Source organism: Homo sapiens, chromosome 10 (genome assembly GCF_000001405.40).
Source record: "Homo sapiens chromosome 10, GRCh38.p14 Primary Assembly".
NCBI lineage: Eukaryota > Metazoa > Chordata > Mammalia > Primates > Hominidae > Homo > Homo sapiens.
Window position 1 is genome coordinate 20,739,158 of NC_000010.11, and position 20,281 is coordinate 20,759,438.

The following is a 20,281-nucleotide window of genomic DNA, read 5'->3' on the forward strand; positions in this document are numbered from 1 at the left end:
TACCCATCTTGGTGGTGTCAGCTGATCCATCCAGTGCAAGTTCTGCAAAATATCTCAGGCACTGATCTTAGGTTTTACAATAGTGATGGTATCCCCAGGAACAATTCGGGGAGGTTCAGACTCTTGGAGCCATAGGCTGCATGACCCCTAAATTGTAATTTCTAATGCAAAGGCAGACTGGTTCCCAGGAAAGAAGGGGTCTTTTGGGGAAGGGGCTGTTATCAATTTTGTTCCAGAATCAAACCATGAACAGAATTCCTTCCCAAAGTTAGTTCAGCCTACACCCAGGAATGAACAGGGACAGCCTAAAGGTTAGAACCAAGATGGAGTCAGTTAGGTCTGATTTCTTTCACTGTCATAATTTCCTCAGTTATAATTTTGCAAAGGCAGTTTCATTTACCCCATCTGGAATGCCCTTCTTCCCACCCCCACATATCAAAACTCACCCATTCTCCAAACTCTGCCTTCTCCTTTATGAGAGCCACCTTCCCTTCCAAAAGAAAGTAACTGCTCCCATCTCTAAACTTCCACAGCCCACACTTCCCTCTAATACCTCTTACTGCCTGCCTTTATTATGTGCATGTGGTCTCGCCTCCACCAGAAATAAATTCTTTGAGGGCAAAGTCTCTACCCCATTTATCTTGTATGTTTCTCCCGGAATCTAGGGCATGGTGGAAATATAATAAATGTTAAGTGAAAGCAAATTTTTCACCTCCTTAGGTACAGTATATGTGCATATCTGTCCTACCTTTGGGCATAATTCCTTATCCCTGTGTTCTATCAAGCCAACAGCTTTCATTTCACCACAAACCCCACAGCCTCAGAGTAGAGCATCCTAACCTTGACAGCAAATATATAACTGCTCTTACTAGACTCTATAAATCCCTTCTCTTTGAGGTTCTAAATCTTTTTTTGGCTAGAGATATTTAACTAAATTGCTAGTCGTTGTGGCAACATTTGCTGAACTACATTTTTGATAATTTTTAATATCTCCCAATATTTATTGTGATATCTATAAATAGCCGGGTCCATATTTTATTATGGTTAGAAGCACCTACCCTTTGATTTATTACCTTCATGTACTAGATCATCAAATTGGCTGGAGTTCACGGTGTTGCAAAGTATTGTGCTGTCCTGGAACTCAGGAAGGGAGATGATTGGTAACAGAAACCATCCTTTAAGATGTCATTGATTAATACACGGCATCTGTCGGCCATGTGTGCAATGGTCATAATGGGTGATGGGGGACGGAAACGGATCTTCAAATCTCAATGTTTTATCCTATGAGATGGGTGCTGGGATGATTGTGTCTTCTTTTAAAATGTGATTACTTTGAGAACACAGCTGAAGAAAACACAAAGTAATTCTATTCTGAAATGGAGTCTTAGCCAAGAAACTTGATTTGGTATCGAGAGTCATTTTCCCAGAGACTGGCTCCCAGATGATCCTCCTCTGTTCACTGGACTATTATGTTTTAAGGGACTGGCTCAGGATGTCACAGTGTCTGTCTCCCCTGCCTTTGATACCTGTGGTCTGGAAGGGTGACTGCATCTTCCAAGCTTCTGTAATTTTTAGCCAGGAAGATTCAGGGTTACAGTGGCCTCATCTGTATAAACAGCTGCAGTGATAGTCACAGAACACCTGAGTGCTTTTATCAGCTTTGTCACTGACCAGCTGTTTCATTGTGGGGAAAACACAAGATTTTTCTTAAGCCAATTTCTATTCTAGAAGAATTCCCATGCTAGAAATATCTCCTAGAAAGGTATAAAGGTAGTTACAGTATACTATTCCAGCCAAATATATTTGATCAGAAGAGGTTTTTTAAAATTAAATGTTGCTTGAGATATCTATTTCTTGGGATATTGGTTTAGGAAACACTAACCTATCCAGTTGCCATGGCCCAGCAATAGACCTGAGTTATCAGCTACACATATAAGTCATAATATCGATATTCATAAAACAAACTTAAATTATGAAGGGCTCAGCTATTACAGCCTCAAGGGCCTGGTTACTTATCATTTGGTCTATAGAGCAAAGGGAAGTTCTGTGAATGCCATCCTTTCCAAATATGTTAGAAACTGAAGTTACTGATATGGTTTGGCTGTAGTTTGGCTGTGTTCTCACCCAAATCTCATCTTGACTTGTAGTTCCCATAATCCCCACATGTCATGAGAGGGACCTAGTGGGAGGTAATTGCATCATGGGGGTGGGTTTTCCCATGCTGATCTTGTGATATAAGTTTCATGAGATCTGATGGTTTTATAAAGGGTAGTTCTCCTGCATACTCTCCCTCTTGCCTGCTGCCATGTAAGATGTGGCTTTGCTCCTCCTTCACCTTCTGCCATGATTGTGAGGCCTCCCCAGCCATGTGGAGCTATGAGTCCATTAAACTTCTTTTTCTTTATAAATGACCCAGTCTCGGGTATATTTCATTAGCAGCATGAGAATGGACAAACACAGTTACCACAAGAAAGAGAAAAGCAGAAGAAAAGATAGCAGGAACTTTTAAAATCATATTTGAAGGAATGAGAGCATGACCACTGATGTATAAGACAATAAAACAGAAGACAGGCCTTGCCAGGATTTAGACAAGCAAATGTTTCTCCATCCTCCTCATGCAAGCTCCCTAGGGGACAAAAACCAAAGCTATACTTCTTTGAAGCTGCAGAATGACACAGTGGATGAGACAAGAGCATTAGATTCAGATGAACCCAGGGGAGAGATGATCTGTGTCTCTTACTGTAGCTGTGTGATACAGGCATGTTTGCGTGTTAGGGAAGTGTGAAAGCAAGCCTCAAGGCAAAAGAATCACCTAGACCAAGACCTAGAGGATGTGGACAAATTAGCCAAGGGAGGAAAAAGTAGAAGTTGCGGGCAAAAGGCACAACACAGTTGAAGACCTGAAAGTAAGAAAGATCATAGCATGTTTGAGACACCGAGATTAGCTCAGCAGGGCAGGAATGCACAGAGGGAGGAAAGTGAGAACAAAGGAAGCTGGGGGAGAGTCAGAGCTAAGAAAATTGGGCTTCATCCCGTTAAAAGAAAAACTTCAGGCCAGGTGCAGTGGCTCATGCCTGTAACCCCAACAATTTGGGAGGTCGAGGCAGGCAGATTGCTTGAGCTCAGGAGTTCAAGACCACCCTGGGCAACATGGTGAAACCCCATCTCTACTAAAATACAAAAAATTAGCCAGGTGTGGTGGCAGGCACCTGTAATCCCAGATACTCGATAGGCTGAGGCAGGAGAATTGCTTGAACCCCAGAGGCAGAGGTTGCAGTGTGCCGAGATCGTGCCACTGCGCTCCAACATGGGCTACAGAGTGAGACTCTGTCCCAAAAAAGGAAAACAAAAGAAAAACTTCAGACAAATTAAATTTAACAGAGTTTAACTGAGCAAAGATCAATTCACGAATCAGGCAGCCTCCTGAGCCAGAGTAGGTCCAGAGAAACTCCAGCCTGCCTTATGAGAAAATTTATGGGCAGACAAAAGAAAGTGACAAGTAGCATACAAAAAAAAATGGAAGTGAGATACAGAAACAGCTGGGTGGTTACAGCTCGGCATTGGCCTTATTCAAACCCAGTTTGAACAGTTGGCTATCCTTGATCAGCCAAAACTCAATGATTGGCATAAAAGTAGGTTCCAGTCTGTTTACACATCTAGTTAGGTTATAGTTCACTACATAGGATAAAACATTAGGCCAAATGTAAAATAAGTAAGGAGGCAGCTTTAGGCTAAACTTAATTTAACAGTCCTAACAGTGACAGGTTTCTAAAGTGGAAATGACGTCACTAGGACAGGATAAGAGAAAGAAATGGCTCACTTGTCTACATGGACCATTAGACGCAATGCAAAGGAGAAGAAGTCAAGAATGGTGTCCAGTTTTCTGGATTAGGCAACTGAGTGAATAAAAGCAAAAAGCTGCAATGTAGACAAGGTGTCTAAGAGGCAAAGTTGCAAACAAAGTCCAATATCACTATCTGCTTCCAAAGGAACAGCTGCTGGTGGCTGTAGTAGCAGAAAGAATTTCAGATAAACAAATCATCTTTTTCAGCCGCATGTAAACAACCATAGCTCAGCAATAACCTTAAATAAGAAAAGAAATGCTTGCCACAATACTGTATTGAGTGGCATTCAAATTAAATACTTCAGATAATGGGGTCAGGTTGGATCCTTCTAAGAGACTCCAGCCCAGGCCCAGACATCTAGAAAATATTTGAAGCATTACCGAATATTTTAGAAGCCAAATGTCTGCTTTGCCTTCTTAGCACAAAAGAGTCTAAGAGCCTGGAAAAGTTCAGCTTCACCAGCTAGTGTTGCTATACCCAAAGGGTGGAAGTCACTGAAGGTCAAAGAAAAATTGTAGGCACCAACTGTTAGGTTTAGTAATAGTTCAATTAAGGATGCTGGGAACTTTAAAATAGAACATTGTGTTGGCATCAGTGGTGACTACAATTTCTACAGGGTGTTGCTTTCAATGAGATTTAGGGTCTCTTAAAGACTTTGTTAACTTTTTTTTTAATGTGGCCATTTAAACAGTTTTAAGGTTAGGGGCTTAGAAACCCTTCCTTCTTCCTTTGCAGAAATTCCAGGTGTGTATTTCAAGAGGTAAGTACCTTTGAAAAATGAGAATGAATGTAAAGCCGGCTCACTTCCCATCACTTACATTGCATAAATGTTTTGGGATGAGATCAAATAAAGCTTGATATATGTGGTTCAGGCAATATGCAGAGCCCCAAAACAATTTCTGAAATATATGGCTTCTCTCTTGTCCTTTGCCCATAATCCTACTGTTATGTTTCAGCTTTTGATGTTCCTGAGGCTTAGTTATATTTCTTTCTTTATCTCACTAACGGACCTAAGGTGCCACCGGATTTTTACAATGTGGATTCCTTTTATCACTAACTCTTATCACGAAGCCACATTCAGGCATCACTCATGTCCTGGTTCTGCATGCTTTCCTCCTCTTCACAGCTGCCATCCACAGTGCCTCCAGCTACTGTCACATCAAATTACACTAGCTAAATAGAATGAAGAAGAGTCAGTCCCGAGTCAGAACAACTTCGGTAAAGATGCTTGGCTGTATTTAGTGGACATTTATTAGGTATCAAGTCACACTGAAGGAAACATTCATTTATATCATGTTTAGCAAATCATTGAAAAACAGACATATATATTTCATTGATTTTTGGAAGAATTAAACATGACAGCTTGATGGAAATGCAATATTTAAAAACAATAATATCTGGAGCTTCATACAGTGACTTTTATCCAGTGAGTTTGTAGGTTTCCTTCCCTCACCACACATTCCCACGTGCAAGTTGTATCTACTGTCTCCAATCATCAGACTCATGATAAAGAGAATCTAATTGTAGGATATGAAGATATGTAGCTGTTTCCAGTGCCTCCACAGTAACCTCAATGAAACAATCAACCGTTTAGTAATTCTTGTTCCCTGAAAAACATGAAGCTGGCAATAAATCTACAGGCAGAGGCCAGCTCTACATTAGCAAAATGAAGCAGAGAATTAAAGTAATTATCTAAAAAATTCATCATGAGCCTGGGGTAGGTAGCTAAATTACTTAAATGAATATTTCAGGGGGAAAATGCAGTTTTGGAAAAAGGCCTTTGAAGACTCTCTTGGCTCACTGATTGCATGTAAAACAGGAAAGTCATTGTACCAATGACGTCCACGTATAGATGGAAGGTATCCCCTACTGGAGCCTTACTTTGAGAGTGCAAAACTGTTCAAAAATGTTACTGTGGTTTAAAATTTTTGCCACTTGGCTTTAAAATCAAAAGAGATTGAGGAGGACCAAACAATGATTCGTCCATTGGGGATTTAGTCCTATCGACCATTGTTTCCTGGGTTCCACAGAGTGAAGGCTCAAAGAAACTTCTAGGAGACATTCCTTTCCCTGCGTTCACCTCAAGATCAGCCAAGATCAACACTTACCCCAATTGGCAGAGACAGAGGGAATTTTAAGACTTTCCCAAAGTAGGCAATTTTTTCCCTTCCTTCAGTGCAAAATAAGCCTTAGAAAGGTTTGTATTGATCTAAGTCTGGTCACTTTGTTCTTATATGCCTGTCTTATAGGAGCATCGGTGTCATGCCCTCTGAACTGGTCACAAGGATTCAGGGCAGAGATACAGGCTCTCTTTCCAAGCAGGGGACTTCAGATCCTTGGAACTAAAAGTGTGGACCATGAACCAGCAGCATCAGCATCATCTGGGAGCATGTTGGAAATGCAGAGTGTCAGGCCCCACCAGTCCGCTGCATCAGACTCTGAAAAATCTCCCCAGGGAATGAACATTTGTGAAGCGCCTATCTCCATGACATTGTGGATCTAGGAGAGCAAGGGGTAAAATCTGAGCAAACCTGTAAGGTAGGAGAGAAGAATCAATTCTATAGGTTCACAGAGGGCTGAAGAGTCCAGAGATGTGAGATCTGAGAATAAGCAGAATCAATACAAACAGACCAGTCTATGAGATTACAATCCCAGGGACTTGGGCTTGCTGTTTGATGCTTCCAGCTGAGTGTCTACACCTTGGGATCGCAGGTGTTAATTACGGCCACAAAGGGCCCGGAGACCTAACTGCGAATCCATCACTTTAAGAGGAATACCTGCATCCCTGTTAATGGTTTCCCAAGACACACATCCCTTCCCCCAAAGGCAGACGCTTCATATGGAGGACAGCAAGTCCCATGACATTCACTAGGAGCTGGGGGAGCTGGGCAGGAGCAAGTGAAGTGTTAGATGGAAAGCCCCACTTTTAAAAATGTCCTCAATCTCAGCTGAGCATGATGGAAACATGCTGTTTCCACAGTACATATTGTGTTGGCTTTTATTAGAATGTGTTGTTGCTGCCATTAATTTAATTATTTTATGGATTGATTTTGCAGAGCTTGCATCCTGAGGCTATACATATTTTTTTAAAGCAGAGAACTCACTTGAGAATGAATGTACATATTGCACATGTGGCTGAAACTCATTTGCTCAGAAAAGATGGGAAGCAGCTGGCTGGCTTCTTGCACATATACTTAAGGAGCATGCCTAAGTCACATGAATGTCCTCATTACCAAACTGAAGAACTCCAGGACCATCTTTCTTTCTTAGTCACATCAATAATGACCATTTATAGAGTGTGCGCCCATCTGAAGCACCATGCTAAGTGCTTTGCATACATTACATCTTAATTCCGTAAGACACTCAAGTTCCCACTGGGTTCTAGTCTCAGCTTCAAATGGTCCACCATTTACCTTCTCTATATCTCAATTTACCCACCCTTAAAAAGGTGGCAACTACCTTCTCAAGCTGCATACAAGAGTTGTCTTGAGCAGGGGTCCCCATGCTCCAGGACAGGGACCCATACCAGTCCATGGCCTGTTAGGGAACCGGGCTGCACAGTACGAGGTAAGTGACAGGCTAGCGAGTATTCCCGCCTGAGCTCCACCTCCTGTCAGAGCAGCAGCAGCATTAGATACTCATAGGAGCACAAACTGTATTGTGAACTGTGCATGCAAGAGATCTAGGTTGCGCGCTCCTTATGAGAATCTAATCCCTAATTATCAGAGGTGGAATACATTCATCCCAAAACCATTTCCCCTCCCCATGCCCCAGTCGATGGAAAAATTGTGTTTCACAAAACCAGTCTCTGGTGCCAAAAAGGCTGGGGACAGCTGGTCGTGAGGATCAAACAAGAGTGCCCAGGTAGGAGCAGTCTGTGATATAAGGGCTTAATATTCCTGCGGAGCTTTTGTTTTCATCTGGAACTTCTTCTTCATGCACTCCATAAAAATTTATGTGTAGGAACAAGAAGCAGTGCTGTTACCTGTGCTGCAAAGCAGGGGGTCTGCTTCAGAGAACTTCCTGCTGCTGCGCTGGCCGACTGCACTAATGCACATCCCGCTGAGCGACTGCTATCAATAACTACTTCTTCCTGACTTCTCCCCTACTAGTTTGCACTGAGCCAGCCCTCCCATGTTGGGCGACTTGGGCTCTGGCTTTTCCTCCCTAAACGAATTACACTTTCTTGCTCCTTATTAATCTTGTCATACTTTATATTTAATTCCAATTCTGTCCTTCACACTATTGCCCACACACACCCAAATTGGAGCTGTCAGCAAGTTATCCCTAGAGCCTTACTGGGTCACATCACCCAAATGCCCTCAGGTACTTCCTTTACTTACAAACAGCAAGGGAGTTTAATTTATTTGAACATTGAGCGTTTGGTGAAGCCTGACTGCACTTTAATGTATCTAATCAACACTTCAAATGCTCTACGATGAAATCCCCGATACCAGATAACCAGTCTGGTGGCTTAAATGTCAGTTTCAATATAATGTTCATTAAATAGCATGTCCTCTTCATTAGACCCTATGCCAGGTGTTTTACCTATATATAGATATTTAAACCTTATTTTAGCTTTGTGAGATAAATATTAATATCCCAGTTGTAAAGTTAAGGAAACAGAGGCTCAGGAAGGCTAAATCACTTGCCCAGAGTCGTAGAGCTACTTGGAAAAACTGAAGTTCCAATCCAGGACTCCCAATTCCAAGTCCAAATGCCTTTCCACCATGCCACAGTTCCCATTGAGAGCAATGTGGAAGACACATTTGCAGAACTCTTCAGGGCAAGTGTTATCATTATTACATCCTGGAGCTTGGTAAAGTTGTCTTGAGATGCTTCAAAAGGAATGTCACTTGCTTGGTCTAGCTGAATACAGAATCTATTTTCCTATCACTAATTACTTCATATTGGTGTAAAACACATGAAGTCCTGACTGCAAAGCCTTATAGTGCTCATTGAAAATGACTAAGTGTTATTTTAAGTTTGGCAGGAACTAGCACATTTTCACAGCCTGAAAGAATTTTTTGGCCAACAGGTTTTGTTCAGATCCACAGTTGTTAACCATTACAGATGCCTAAAAAAAACTAAGATTGGGGTTGTTGAAATATTTAACTGATGTCTGGGGTCAATAGAAACTGAGAATCTTCAGTTTCTACACTGTCACTAGTGCTCCAAAGTGAAGGAGAAGTTCATTTTCCTTCACCTTTCAAAAAAGATATTTCTGGATATGAATTAAACCTTTGTGATCTAAAGATGAGTTACGTGTGCTATACCATTCTTCAGGTTTACACTCTTCATCCTGTTGAAGGATTTATCATTTCTGAGAAACCCAAGTTAGTTGTATCATTTAAAAATGTAACTCAACTACTGCCAACAAAACCAAGAAATAATGTTGACTTTTTAAATTTTTTTTACATAAAAAAAATCTGGAGGCAAGCAATTTAGGGCATGGGTGGCAGCTCAACCATCACATCAACAACCTAGGTAACTTTGATCTTTCTACCAACTTTTGTATATGACTTCCATTGTTAATATGATTTTGAGGTTCATGATGGCTGCTGGGGCTTCAACCAGTATTTTCACATTTCATGTGGGACAGAGAAGAAAGAGTTCCAGCTTCAGGAGGAACCAAGAATAAATCTTTGTTACCAGGCAGTAAAAGCTGAGATTCTTACTCAGGAAGAAAGAGTAGATGGATTTTAAACAGTTGACTAAGAGTCTCAGTGAGTTGCCAAGGGATGAAAAATTCCAAGTCCATTTGGAACCTTCTTAGGTTGGATTACAGGCATGATTCATAAGCTCTTAGAGCTAAAAAACATGAGAGATCAACTAGTCCAACATCTGCATTTTAAAGTTGAAGAAACTGAGGGCCAGGAAAACCACTGGACTCGGTTAAGACAGCAAAGCCAGTGAGCATCAGAGGTTGGACTGGGAATGAGGTCGCAGTCATTCCAACCTAACATGGTTTTGACCATAGCACATTTCCTTACTAAGCTTGCTTTATAACTGTGACACATCCTTTTGTTGAAGTTTTAGAGTATCTATGCATAACATTTCTCTCTTCCCTTCCTGTTGAGAAATAAGAGAAGTCAAACAGATTCTGATCAAATACTGGCTTTATTATTGGTGCAGGCAATTGAACAGTGTTGTTATCCAGCAGTAACCAAAAAGGCTTCCCTTTGCCCTTCAATCAGGCCAATGTACCCACCCACTCATGGGCAGCACTACCACAGGCCTCTTCCACAAGACAGCTTCTGTGGGGTGGAGACAGGAGTAGGATACAGAAGGGCACACCAGAATTCATGCCCCTGCAGTAAGACTTGCTCAGAAAGGAATGGACTGGCCTGAGCATGTCCTGTCCCTTCTCCCAGTGACAGCAATCTCTTCTCTGCCCTGCAGAGTACATGGGGCAGCAAGGAGAGGCCAGAAGTGGTTCTCTAATGAGTTCTTCCAAATGAAATTTCCTCTACATAGGGCCAGAGAAAAACCACATCCCCCTTAACACTTAAAATATGTTTATCTTATCTATCATATTTCCTACCATAATATTTGACACAGATACTTGAACATGGCTTCATTGACTTACTATGAGATTTATTATAAGGGTGGGGTAGACCAGAGTCTGGAAAGTAAAGCACAGAAAGGTTATGTAGCTTATTCAAAGTCATACAGTAAGTGGGAACAAAACCAAAACCAGGACCCAAGTATCTGGCCCCACTTCCCTGGATACTTTCTCTAAACTTGGCTGTATATCTGCAAGTCCTCCTGTTCTGACAAAGCAATCATACCCTAACTAACTGGAGACCATCTGGAGCATTCAGAATAGCTCCAGGTACTTTTGCCAGATTAAGACTAGTGTCCCTCACAGTGAGAAAAAGTCTTTGAGGGTAAAGAATACTCAAGCCTTATGAAACTTGCTGGTGGGCTAGAGGAATAACTCAATCAATCAAGAAACTTTTAAAAAAGAGATAGAAGACTCAAAATCAGAGATGAAAAGGGAACCATTGCAACTGGTACCATAGGAATACAAAGGATCTATCATAAGAAACAATTATGAACAATTATATGTCAACAAATTGGAAAAGCTGGAAGAAATGGATAAATTCCTGGACATATGCAACTACAAAGACTGAATTATGAAGAAATAGAAAATCCAACCAAAGAAAAAGATCGAATGAGTAATTAAAGATATCCTATCAAAGAAAAGCCCAGGACCTAATGACTTCACTACTGAAAATTCTAGGCAACACTTAAAGAAAAACTAATACCAATTTTTATCGACTATTCTCAAAAAATTAAAGACAAAAGAATTCTTCCAAACTAATTCAACAAGGAGAGGATTACCCTGATATCAAAACCAGACAAGGACACAACAACCAAAAAGAAAATTTTAGGCCAATATCTCTGATGAACATAAATGCAAAAATCCTCAACAAAATACTAGCAAAGCAAATTCAATAGCATATTTTTAAAAAATCATTCACCATGATTAAATGGGATTCATCCCAGGAATGCAAGGATGGTTCAACATATGGAAATCAATAAATATGATACACCACATTAACAGAATGAAAGGCAAAAATCACATAATTATTTCAATAGATGCAAGAAGAGGATTTGAGAAAATTCAACTTCACTTCATGCTAAATATTCTCAAAGAAGAAACATACTTCAACACAATAAAGGCAATGTATGGCAAACCCACAGCTAACATGATATTGAACAGGGAAAAGTTGAAAGCTTTTCTCCTAAGGTCTGGAACAAGATGAAGCTGCCCACTTTTACCACTTCTACTCAATATAATACTGGAAGTTCTAGCCAGAACAAGAGAAAGAAATCAAAGGCATTCAAATTGGAAAGAAGGAAGTTAAATTGTCCCTGTTCACAGAAAATACGATCCCATTAACAGAAAACTCTAAAGATTCCATCAAAAAAACTATTTGAACTAATAAATTCAGTAAAGTTACAAGATGTAAAATGAACATACAAAAATCTGGCAAGGCATGGTGGCTCACACCTGTAATACCAGCACTTTAGGAGGCTGAGGCAGGCAGATCAGTTGAGGCTAGGAGTATGAGAACAGCCTGGGTAACATGATGAAACCCCATCTCTACAAAACATACAAAAATTAGCCAGGTGCTGTGGCACACACCATAGTCCCATCTACTGGGGAGAATGAGGCAAGAGAATCACCTGGGCCCAGGGAGGCAGAGGTTGCAGTGAGCTGAGATCATGCCACTGCACTCCAGTCTGGGTGACAGAAGTGAAATCTTGTCTCAAAAAAAAAAAAAAAAAATCAGTAGCATTTCTATATATTAATAGCAAACTATCTGAAAAAGAAATCAAGAAAAAATACCATTTACAGTAGCCACCAAAAAAACCAGCCTAGGAATAAATTTAACCAAGAAGGTAAAATATCTCTACAATGAAAACTATAAAACATTAATGAAAAATTGAAGAAGACCAAAATAAATGGAAAAATATCCCATAATGACAGTTTGAAAGAATTAATATTCTTAAAATGTTTATACTTCCCAAAGAGATCTACAGATTTAATCCAATCTTTACCAAAATAGCAATGGCATTCTTCACAGACATTTTTTTTTTTTTACATATAGAAATCAAGGTATTTATTTATTTATTTATTTATTTTTTTTTTTAATTTTTTTTTTAAATTATACTTTAAGTTTTAGGGTACATGTGCACATTGTGCAGGTTAGTTACATATGTATACATGTGCCATGCTGGTGCGCTGCACCCACTAACGTGTCATCTAGCATTAGGTATATCTCCCAATGCTATCCCTCCCCCCTCCCCCGACCCCACCACAGTCCCCAGAGTGTGATATTCCCCTTCCAGTGTCCATGTGATCTCATTGTTCAATTCCCACCTATGAGTGAGAATATGAGGTGTTTGGTTTTTTGTTCTTGCGATAGTTTACTGAGAATGATGGTTTCCAATTTCATCCATGTCCCTACAAAGGACATGAACTCATCATTTTTTATGGCTGCATAGTATTCCATGGTGTATATGTGCCACATTTTCTTAATCCAGTCTATCATTGTTGGACTTTTGGGTTGGTTCCAAGTCTTTGCTATCGTGAATAATGCCGCAATAAACATACGTGTGCATGTGTCTTTATAGCAGCATGATTTATAGTCATTTGGGTATATACCCAGTAATGGGATGGCTGGGTCAAATGGTATTTCTAGTTCTAGATCCCTGAGGAATCGCCACACTGACTTCCACAATGGTTGAACTAGTTTACAGTCCCACCAACAGTGTAAAAGTGTTCCTATTTCTCCACATCCTCTCCAGCACCTGTTGTTTCCTGACTTTTTAATGATTGCCATTCTAACTGGTGTGAGATGATATCTCATAGTGGTTTTGATTTGCATTTCTCTGATGGCCAGTGATGATGAGCATTTTTTCATGTGTTTTTTGGCTGCATAAATGTCTTCTTTTGAGAAGTGTCTGTTCATGTCCTTCGCCCACTTTTTGATGGGGTTGTTTGTTTTTTTCTTGTAAGTTTGTTTGAGTTCATTGTAGATTCTGGATATTAGCTCTTTGTCAGATGAGTAGGTTGCAAAATTTTCTCCCATGTTGTAGGTTGCCTGTTCACTCTGATGGTAGTTTCTTTTGCTGTGCAGAAGTTCTTTAGTTTAATTAGATCCCATTTGTCAATTTTGGCTTTTGTTGCCATTGCTTTTGGCGTTTTGGACATGAAGTCCTTGCCCACGCCTATGTCCTGAATGGTAATGCCTAGGTTTTCTTCTAGGGTTTTTATGGTTTTAGGTCTAACGTTTAAATCTTTAATCCATCTTGAATTGATTTTTGTATAAGGTGTAAGGAAGGGATCCAGTTTCAGCTTTCTACATATGGCTAGCCAGTTTTCCCAGCACCATTTATTAAATAGGGAGTCCTTTCCCCATTGCTTGTTTTTCTCAGGTTTGTCAAAGATCAGATAGTTGTAGATATGTGGCATTATTTCTGAGGGCTCTGTTCTGTTCCATTGATCTATATCTCTGTTTTGGTACCAGTACCATGCTGTTTTGGTTACTGTAGCCTTGTAGTATAGTTTGAAGTCAGGTAGTGTGATGCCTCCAGCTTTGTTCTTTTGGCTTAGGATTGACTTGGCGATGCGGGCTCTTTTTTGGTTCCATATGAACTTTAAAGTAGTTTTTTCCAATTCTGTGAAGAAAGTCATTGGTAGCTTGATGGGGATGGCATTGAATCTGTAAATTACCTTGGGCAGTATGGCCATTTTCACGATATTGATTCTTCCTACCCATGAGCATGGAATGTTCTTCCATTTGTTTGCATCCTCTTTTATTTCCTTGAGCAGTGGTTTGTAGTTCTCCTTGAAGAGGTCCTTCACATCCCTTGTAAGTTGGATTCCTAGGTATTTTATTCTCTTTGAAGCAATTGTGAATGGGACTTCACTCGTGATTTGGCTCTCTGTTTGTCTGTTGTTGGTGTATAAGAATGCTTGTGATTTTTGTACATTGATTTTGTATCCTGAGACTTTGCTGAAGTTGCTTATCAGCTTAAGGAGATTTTGGGCTGAGATGATGGGGTTTTCTAGATAAACAATCATGTCGTCTGCAAACAGGGACAATTTGACTTCCTCTTTTCCTAATTGAATACCCTTTATTTCCTTCTCCTGCCTGATTGCCCTGGCCAGAACTTCCAACACTATGTTGAATAGGAGCGGTGAGGGCATCCCTGTCTTCTGCCAGTTTTCAAAGGGAATGCTTCCAGTTTTTGCCCATTCAGTATGATATTGGCTGTGGGTTTGTCATAGATAGCTCTTATTATTTTGAAATACGTCCCATCAATACCTAATTTATTGAGAGTTTTTAGCATGAAGGGTTGTTGAATTTTGTCAAAGGCTTTTTCTGCATCTATTGAGATAATCATGTGGTTTTTGTCTTTGGCTCTGTTTATATGCTGGATTACATTTATTGATTTGCGTATATTGAACCAGCCTTGCATCCCAGGGATGAAGCCCACTTGATCATGGTGGATAAGCTTTTTGATGTGCTGCTGGATTCGGTTTGCCAGTATTTTATTGAGGATTTTTGCATCAATGTTCATCAAGGATATTGGTCTAAAATTCTCTTTTTTGGTTGTGTCTCTGCCCGGCTTTGGTATCAGAATGATGCTGGCCTCATAAAATGAGTTAGGGAGGATTCCCTCTTTTTCTATTGATTGGAATAGTTTCAGAAGGAATGGTACCAGTTCCTCCTTGTACCTCTGGTAGAATTCGGCTGTGAATCCATCTGGTCCTGGACTCTTTTTGGTTGGTAAACTATTGATTATTGCCACAATTTCAGAGCCTGTTATTGGTCTATTCAGAGATTCAACTTCTTCCTGGTTTAGTCTTGGGAGAGTGTATGTGTCGAGGAATGTATCCATTTCTTCTAGATTTTCTAGTTTATTTGCATAGAGGTGTTTGTAGTATTCTCTGATGGTAGTTTGTATTTCTGTGGGATCGGTGGTGATATCCCCTTTACCATTTTTTATTGTGTCTATTTGATTCTTCTCTCTTTTTTTCTTTATTAGTCTTGCTAGCGGTCTATCAATTTTGTTGATCCTTTCCAAAAACCAGCTCCTGGATTCATTGATTTTTTGAAGTGTTTTTTGTGTCTCTATTTTCTTCAGTTCTGCTCTGATTTTAGTTATTTCTTGCCTTCTGCTAGCTTTTGAATGTGTTTGCTCTTGCTTTTCTAGTTCTTTTAATTGTGATGTTAGGGTGTCAATTTTGGATCTTTCCTGCTTTCTCTTGTAGGCATTTAGTGCTATAAATTTCCCTCTACACACTGCTTTGAATGCGTCCCAGAGATTCTGGTATGTGGTGTCTTTGTTCTCGTTGGTTTCAAAGAACATCTTTATTTCTGCCTTCATTTCGTTATGTACCCAGTAGTCATTCAGGAGCAGATTGTTCAGTTTCCATGTAGTTGAGCGGCTTTGAGTGAGATTCTTAATCCTGAGTTCTAGTTTGATTGCACTGTGGTCTGAGAGATAGTTTGTTATAATTTCTGTTCTTTTACATTTGCTGAGGAGAGCTTTACTTCCAACTATGTGGTCAATTTTGGAATAGGTGTGGTGTGGTGCTGAAAAAAATGTATATTCTGTTGATTTGGGGTGGAGAGTTCTGTAGATGTCTATTAAGTCCGCTTGGTGCAGAGCTGAGTTCAATTCCTGGGTATCCTTGTTGACTTTCTGTCTCGTTGATCTGTCTAATGTTGACAGTGGGATGTTAAAGACTCCCATTATTAATGTGTGGGAGTCTAAGTCTCTTTGTAGGTCACTCAGGACTTGCTTTATGAATCGGGGTGCTCCTGTATTGGGTGCATAAATATTTAGGATAGTTAGCTCCTCTTGTTGAATTGATCCCTTTACCATGACGTAATGGCCTTCTTTGTCTCTTTTGATCTTTGTTGGTTTAAAGTCTGTTTTATCAGAGACTAGGATTGCAACCCCTGCCTTTTTTTTTTTTCCATTTGCTTGGTAGATCTTCCTCCATCCTTTTATTTCGAGCCTATGTGTGTCTCTGCACGTGAGATGGGTTTCCTGAATACAGCACACTGATGGGTCTTGACTCTTTATCCAACTTGCCAGTCTGTGTCTTTTAATTGCAGAATTTAGTCCATTTATATTTAAAGTTAATATTGTTATGTGTGAATTTGATCCTGTCATTATGATGTTAGCTGGTGGTTTTGCTCGTTAGTTGATGCAGTTTCTTCCTAGTCTCGATGGTCTTTACATTTTGGCATGATTTTGCAGCGGCTGGTACCGGTTGTTCCTTTCCATGTTTAGCACTTCCTTCAGGAGCTCTTTTAGGGCAGGCCTGGTGGTGACAAAATCTCTCAGCATTTGCTTGTCTATAAAGTATTTTATTTCTCCTTCACTTATGAAGCTTAGTTTGGCTGGATATGAAATTCTGGTTTGAAAATTCTTTTCTTTAAGAATGTTGAATATTGGCCCCCACTCTCTTCTGGCTTGTAGGGTTTCTGCCGAGAGATCCGCTGTTAGTCTGATGGGCTTTCCTTTGAGGGTAACCTGACCTTTCTCTCTGGCTGCCCTTAACATTTTTTCCTTCATTTCAACTTTGGTGAATCTGACAATTATGTGTCTTGGAGTTGCTCTTCTCGAGGAGTATCTTTGTGGCGTTCTCTGTATTTCCTGAATCTGAACGTTGGCCTGCCTTGCTAGATTGGGGAAGTTCTCCTGGATAATATCCTGCAGAGTGTTTTCCAACTTGGTTCCATTCTCCACATCACTTTCAGGTACACCAATCAGACGTAGATTTGGTCTTTTCACATAGTCCCATATTTCTTGGAGGCTTTTCTCATTTCTTTTTATTCTTTTTTCTCTAAACTTCCCTTCTCGCTTCATTTCATTCATTTCATCTTCCATTGCTGATACCCTTTCTTCCAGTTGATCGCATCGGCTCCTGAGGCTTCTGCATTCTTCACGTAGTTCTCGAGCCTTGGTTTTCAGCTCCATCAGCTCCTTTAAGCACTTCTCTGTATTGGTTATTCTAGTTATACATTCTTCTAAATTTTTTTCAAAGTTTTCAACTTCTTTGCCTTTGGTTTGAATGTCCTCCCATAGCTCACAGTAATTTGATCGTCTGAAGCCTTCTTCTCTCAGCTCGTCAAAATCATTCTCCATCCAGCTTTGTTCCGTTGCTGGTGAGGAACTGCGTTCCTTTGGAGGAGGAGAGGCGCTCTGCGTTTTAGAGTTTCCAGTTTTTCTGTTCTGTTTTTTCCCCATCTTTGTGGTTTTATCTACTTTTGGTCTTTGATGATGGTGATGTACAGATGGGTTTTCGGTGTAGATGTCCTTTCTGGTTGTTAGTTTTCCTTCTAACAGACAGGACCCTCAGCTGCAGGTCTGTTGGAATACCCTGCCGTGTGAGGTGTCAGTGTGCCCCTGCTGGGGGGTGCCTCCCAGTTAGGCTGCTCGGGGGTCAGGGGTCAGGGACCCACTTGAGGAGGCAGTCTGCCCGTTCTCAGGTCTCCAGCTGCATGCTGGGAGAACCACTGCTCTCTTCAAAGCTGTCAGACAGGGACACTTAAGTCTGCAGAGGTTACTGCTGTCTTTTTGTTTGTCTGTGCCCTGCCCCCAGAGGTGGAGCCTACAGAGGCAGGCAGGCCTCCTTGAGCTATGGTGGGCTCCACCCAGTTCGAGCTTCCCGGCTGCTTTATTTACCTAAGCAAGCCTGGGCAATGGCGGGCGCCCCTCCCCCAGCCTCGTTGCCGCCTTGCAGTTTGATCTCAGACTGCTGTGCCAGCAATCAGCGAGATTCCGTGGGCATAGGACCCTCTGAGCCAGGTGTGGGATATAGTCTCCTGGTGCGCCGTTTTTTAAGCCGGTCTGAAAAGCGCAATATTCGGGTGGGAGTGACCCGATTTTCCAGGTGCATCCGTCACCCCTTTCTTTGACTCGGAAAGGGAACTCCCTGACCCCTTGCGCTTCCCAGGTGAGGGAATGCCTCGCCCTGCTTCGGCTCGCGCACGGTGCGCGCACACACTGGCCTGCGCCCACTGTCTGGCACTCCCTAGTGAGATGAACCCGGTACCTCAGATGGAAATGCAGAAATCACCCGTCTTCTGCGTCGCTCACGCTGGGAGCTGTAGACCGGAGCTGTTCCTATTCGGCCATCTTGGCTCCTCCCCACAGACATTTTTTATTTCAAAAACATTAGTAGACATTTTTCTATGTTGAAAAACCATCTGAAATTTGTATAGAACAATAAAAGACTCTGAATAGTCAAAGCAATCTTGATCAAAAAGAACAAAGCTAGAGGCATTATACAACTGACTTCACAATACAGTAACCAAAACAGCATGGTATTGGAATAAAAACAGCCATATAGGCTAATGAAACAGAATACAAAGCCTAGAAATAAATCTATGAATTTACAGTCAACTGATTTTCAACATATGTATCAAAAACACATCTTGAGAAAAGGACAGTTTCTTCAATAAATGGGGTCAGGAAAACTGGATATCCATGCACATAAAAATGAAATTAGACCCTTATCTCTCACCACATACAAAAATCAACTCAAAATTGACAGAGACTTAAATGTAAGACCAAAACTGTGAAACAATTAGAAGAAAACATAGGGAAAGTGCTTCATGACATTGGTGTAGGCAAGGATTTTATGGAAAGCCCTGTAAAGTATAGACAACAAAAGCGGTGATAGACAAATAGAATTACATCGAACTAAAAAGCATCTGCACATCACAGGAAACAATCAACAGAGTGAAGAGACAACCCACAGAATGGGAGAAAATATTTGCAAACTACACATCCAACAAGGGGTTAATATCCAAAACAGGGAAATAATTCAAATAACTCAAAAAAAAAAAAAAAAGAAATGGGCAAAAGATCTGCATGGACATTTCTCTGAAGAAGACATACAAATGGGCAACAGGTATACAAAATAATACTCAACATCACTAATCATCAGGGAAATGCAAATCAAAACCACAATAAAATATCTCACCACAGTTAGAAGGATATAATCAAAAAGACAAAAGACAATGTGTTGGCAAAAATGTGGGGAAAAGCAGATCCTTTTATACTGTTGTTGGGAATGTTAATTAGTACAACCACTATGGAAAAAAGTATGGAGTTTCCCAAAAAAAAATTTTAAAAGAACTACCATATGATCTAAGCAATCCCACTACTGGGTATATATCCAAAGGAAATGAAACCAATATGTTGAAGAGACATTTTCACTCCCATATGTTTTTGTAGCACTATTCACAATAGTCAAGATACGGAACCAACCTAAGTGTCCATCAGTGGATGAATGGATAAAGAAAATGTGATCTATATCTACATATATATATATATGAATATATAGATACATAATGGAATACTATTCACCCATAAAAAAGAATAAAATCCTGCCATTTGCAGTAACAGGGATGAATCTGGTGAATATAATTAAGTAAAATAAGTCAGACATAGAAAGACAAATACTACATGTTCTCACTCGTATGCAGAATCTAAACGAGTTGATACGATGGTGGGTATGGGGTGGTTAGGGGGAGGTGGAGATGGGGAGATGTTGGTCAAAGGATACATAATTATAGTCTGGAGTACATTTCAAGAGATCTGTTGAACAGCAGGATGACTATAGTTAATGTTATGTAATAGTCAATGTTATGTGCTATCACCACAAAAATAACTATAGAAGTAATGCATTTGTTAATTCACTAGCGTTAACAGTGTATATATATATTTCAAAAATCATGTTGTACAAGATAAAAGCATAATGTTATCTGTCAAATGAATGTACAAACATTTTTAAGCACCTTCTGGGTGCCAGGCTATTACTGGGATAAAGAACTGACAACATACCAGTTGAAATCTGTCATAACCTAGTAGGGAAAACAACCAAGAAGACA

At 40.4% G+C, this 20,281-nt stretch overlaps 2 annotated features.

Annotated features, from left to right (window-relative positions):
- Positions 17,614–18,146: an enhancer, noted in NCBI's record as "NANOG-H3K4me1 hESC enhancer chr10:21045700-21046232 (GRCh37/hg19 assembly coordinates)". NCBI's record gives its function as "activates a minimal SCP1, AML or CMV promoter by ChIP-STARR-seq in primed H9 embryonic stem cells {active_cell/tissue: H9 hESC(primed)}" and the evidence as "EXISTENCE:reporter gene assay evidence [ECO:0000049][PMID:30033119]".
- Positions 18,147–18,677: an enhancer, noted in NCBI's record as "H3K4me1 hESC enhancer chr10:21046233-21046763 (GRCh37/hg19 assembly coordinates)". NCBI's record gives its function as "activates a minimal SCP1, AML or CMV promoter by ChIP-STARR-seq in primed H9 embryonic stem cells {active_cell/tissue: H9 hESC(primed)}" and the evidence as "EXISTENCE:reporter gene assay evidence [ECO:0000049][PMID:30033119]".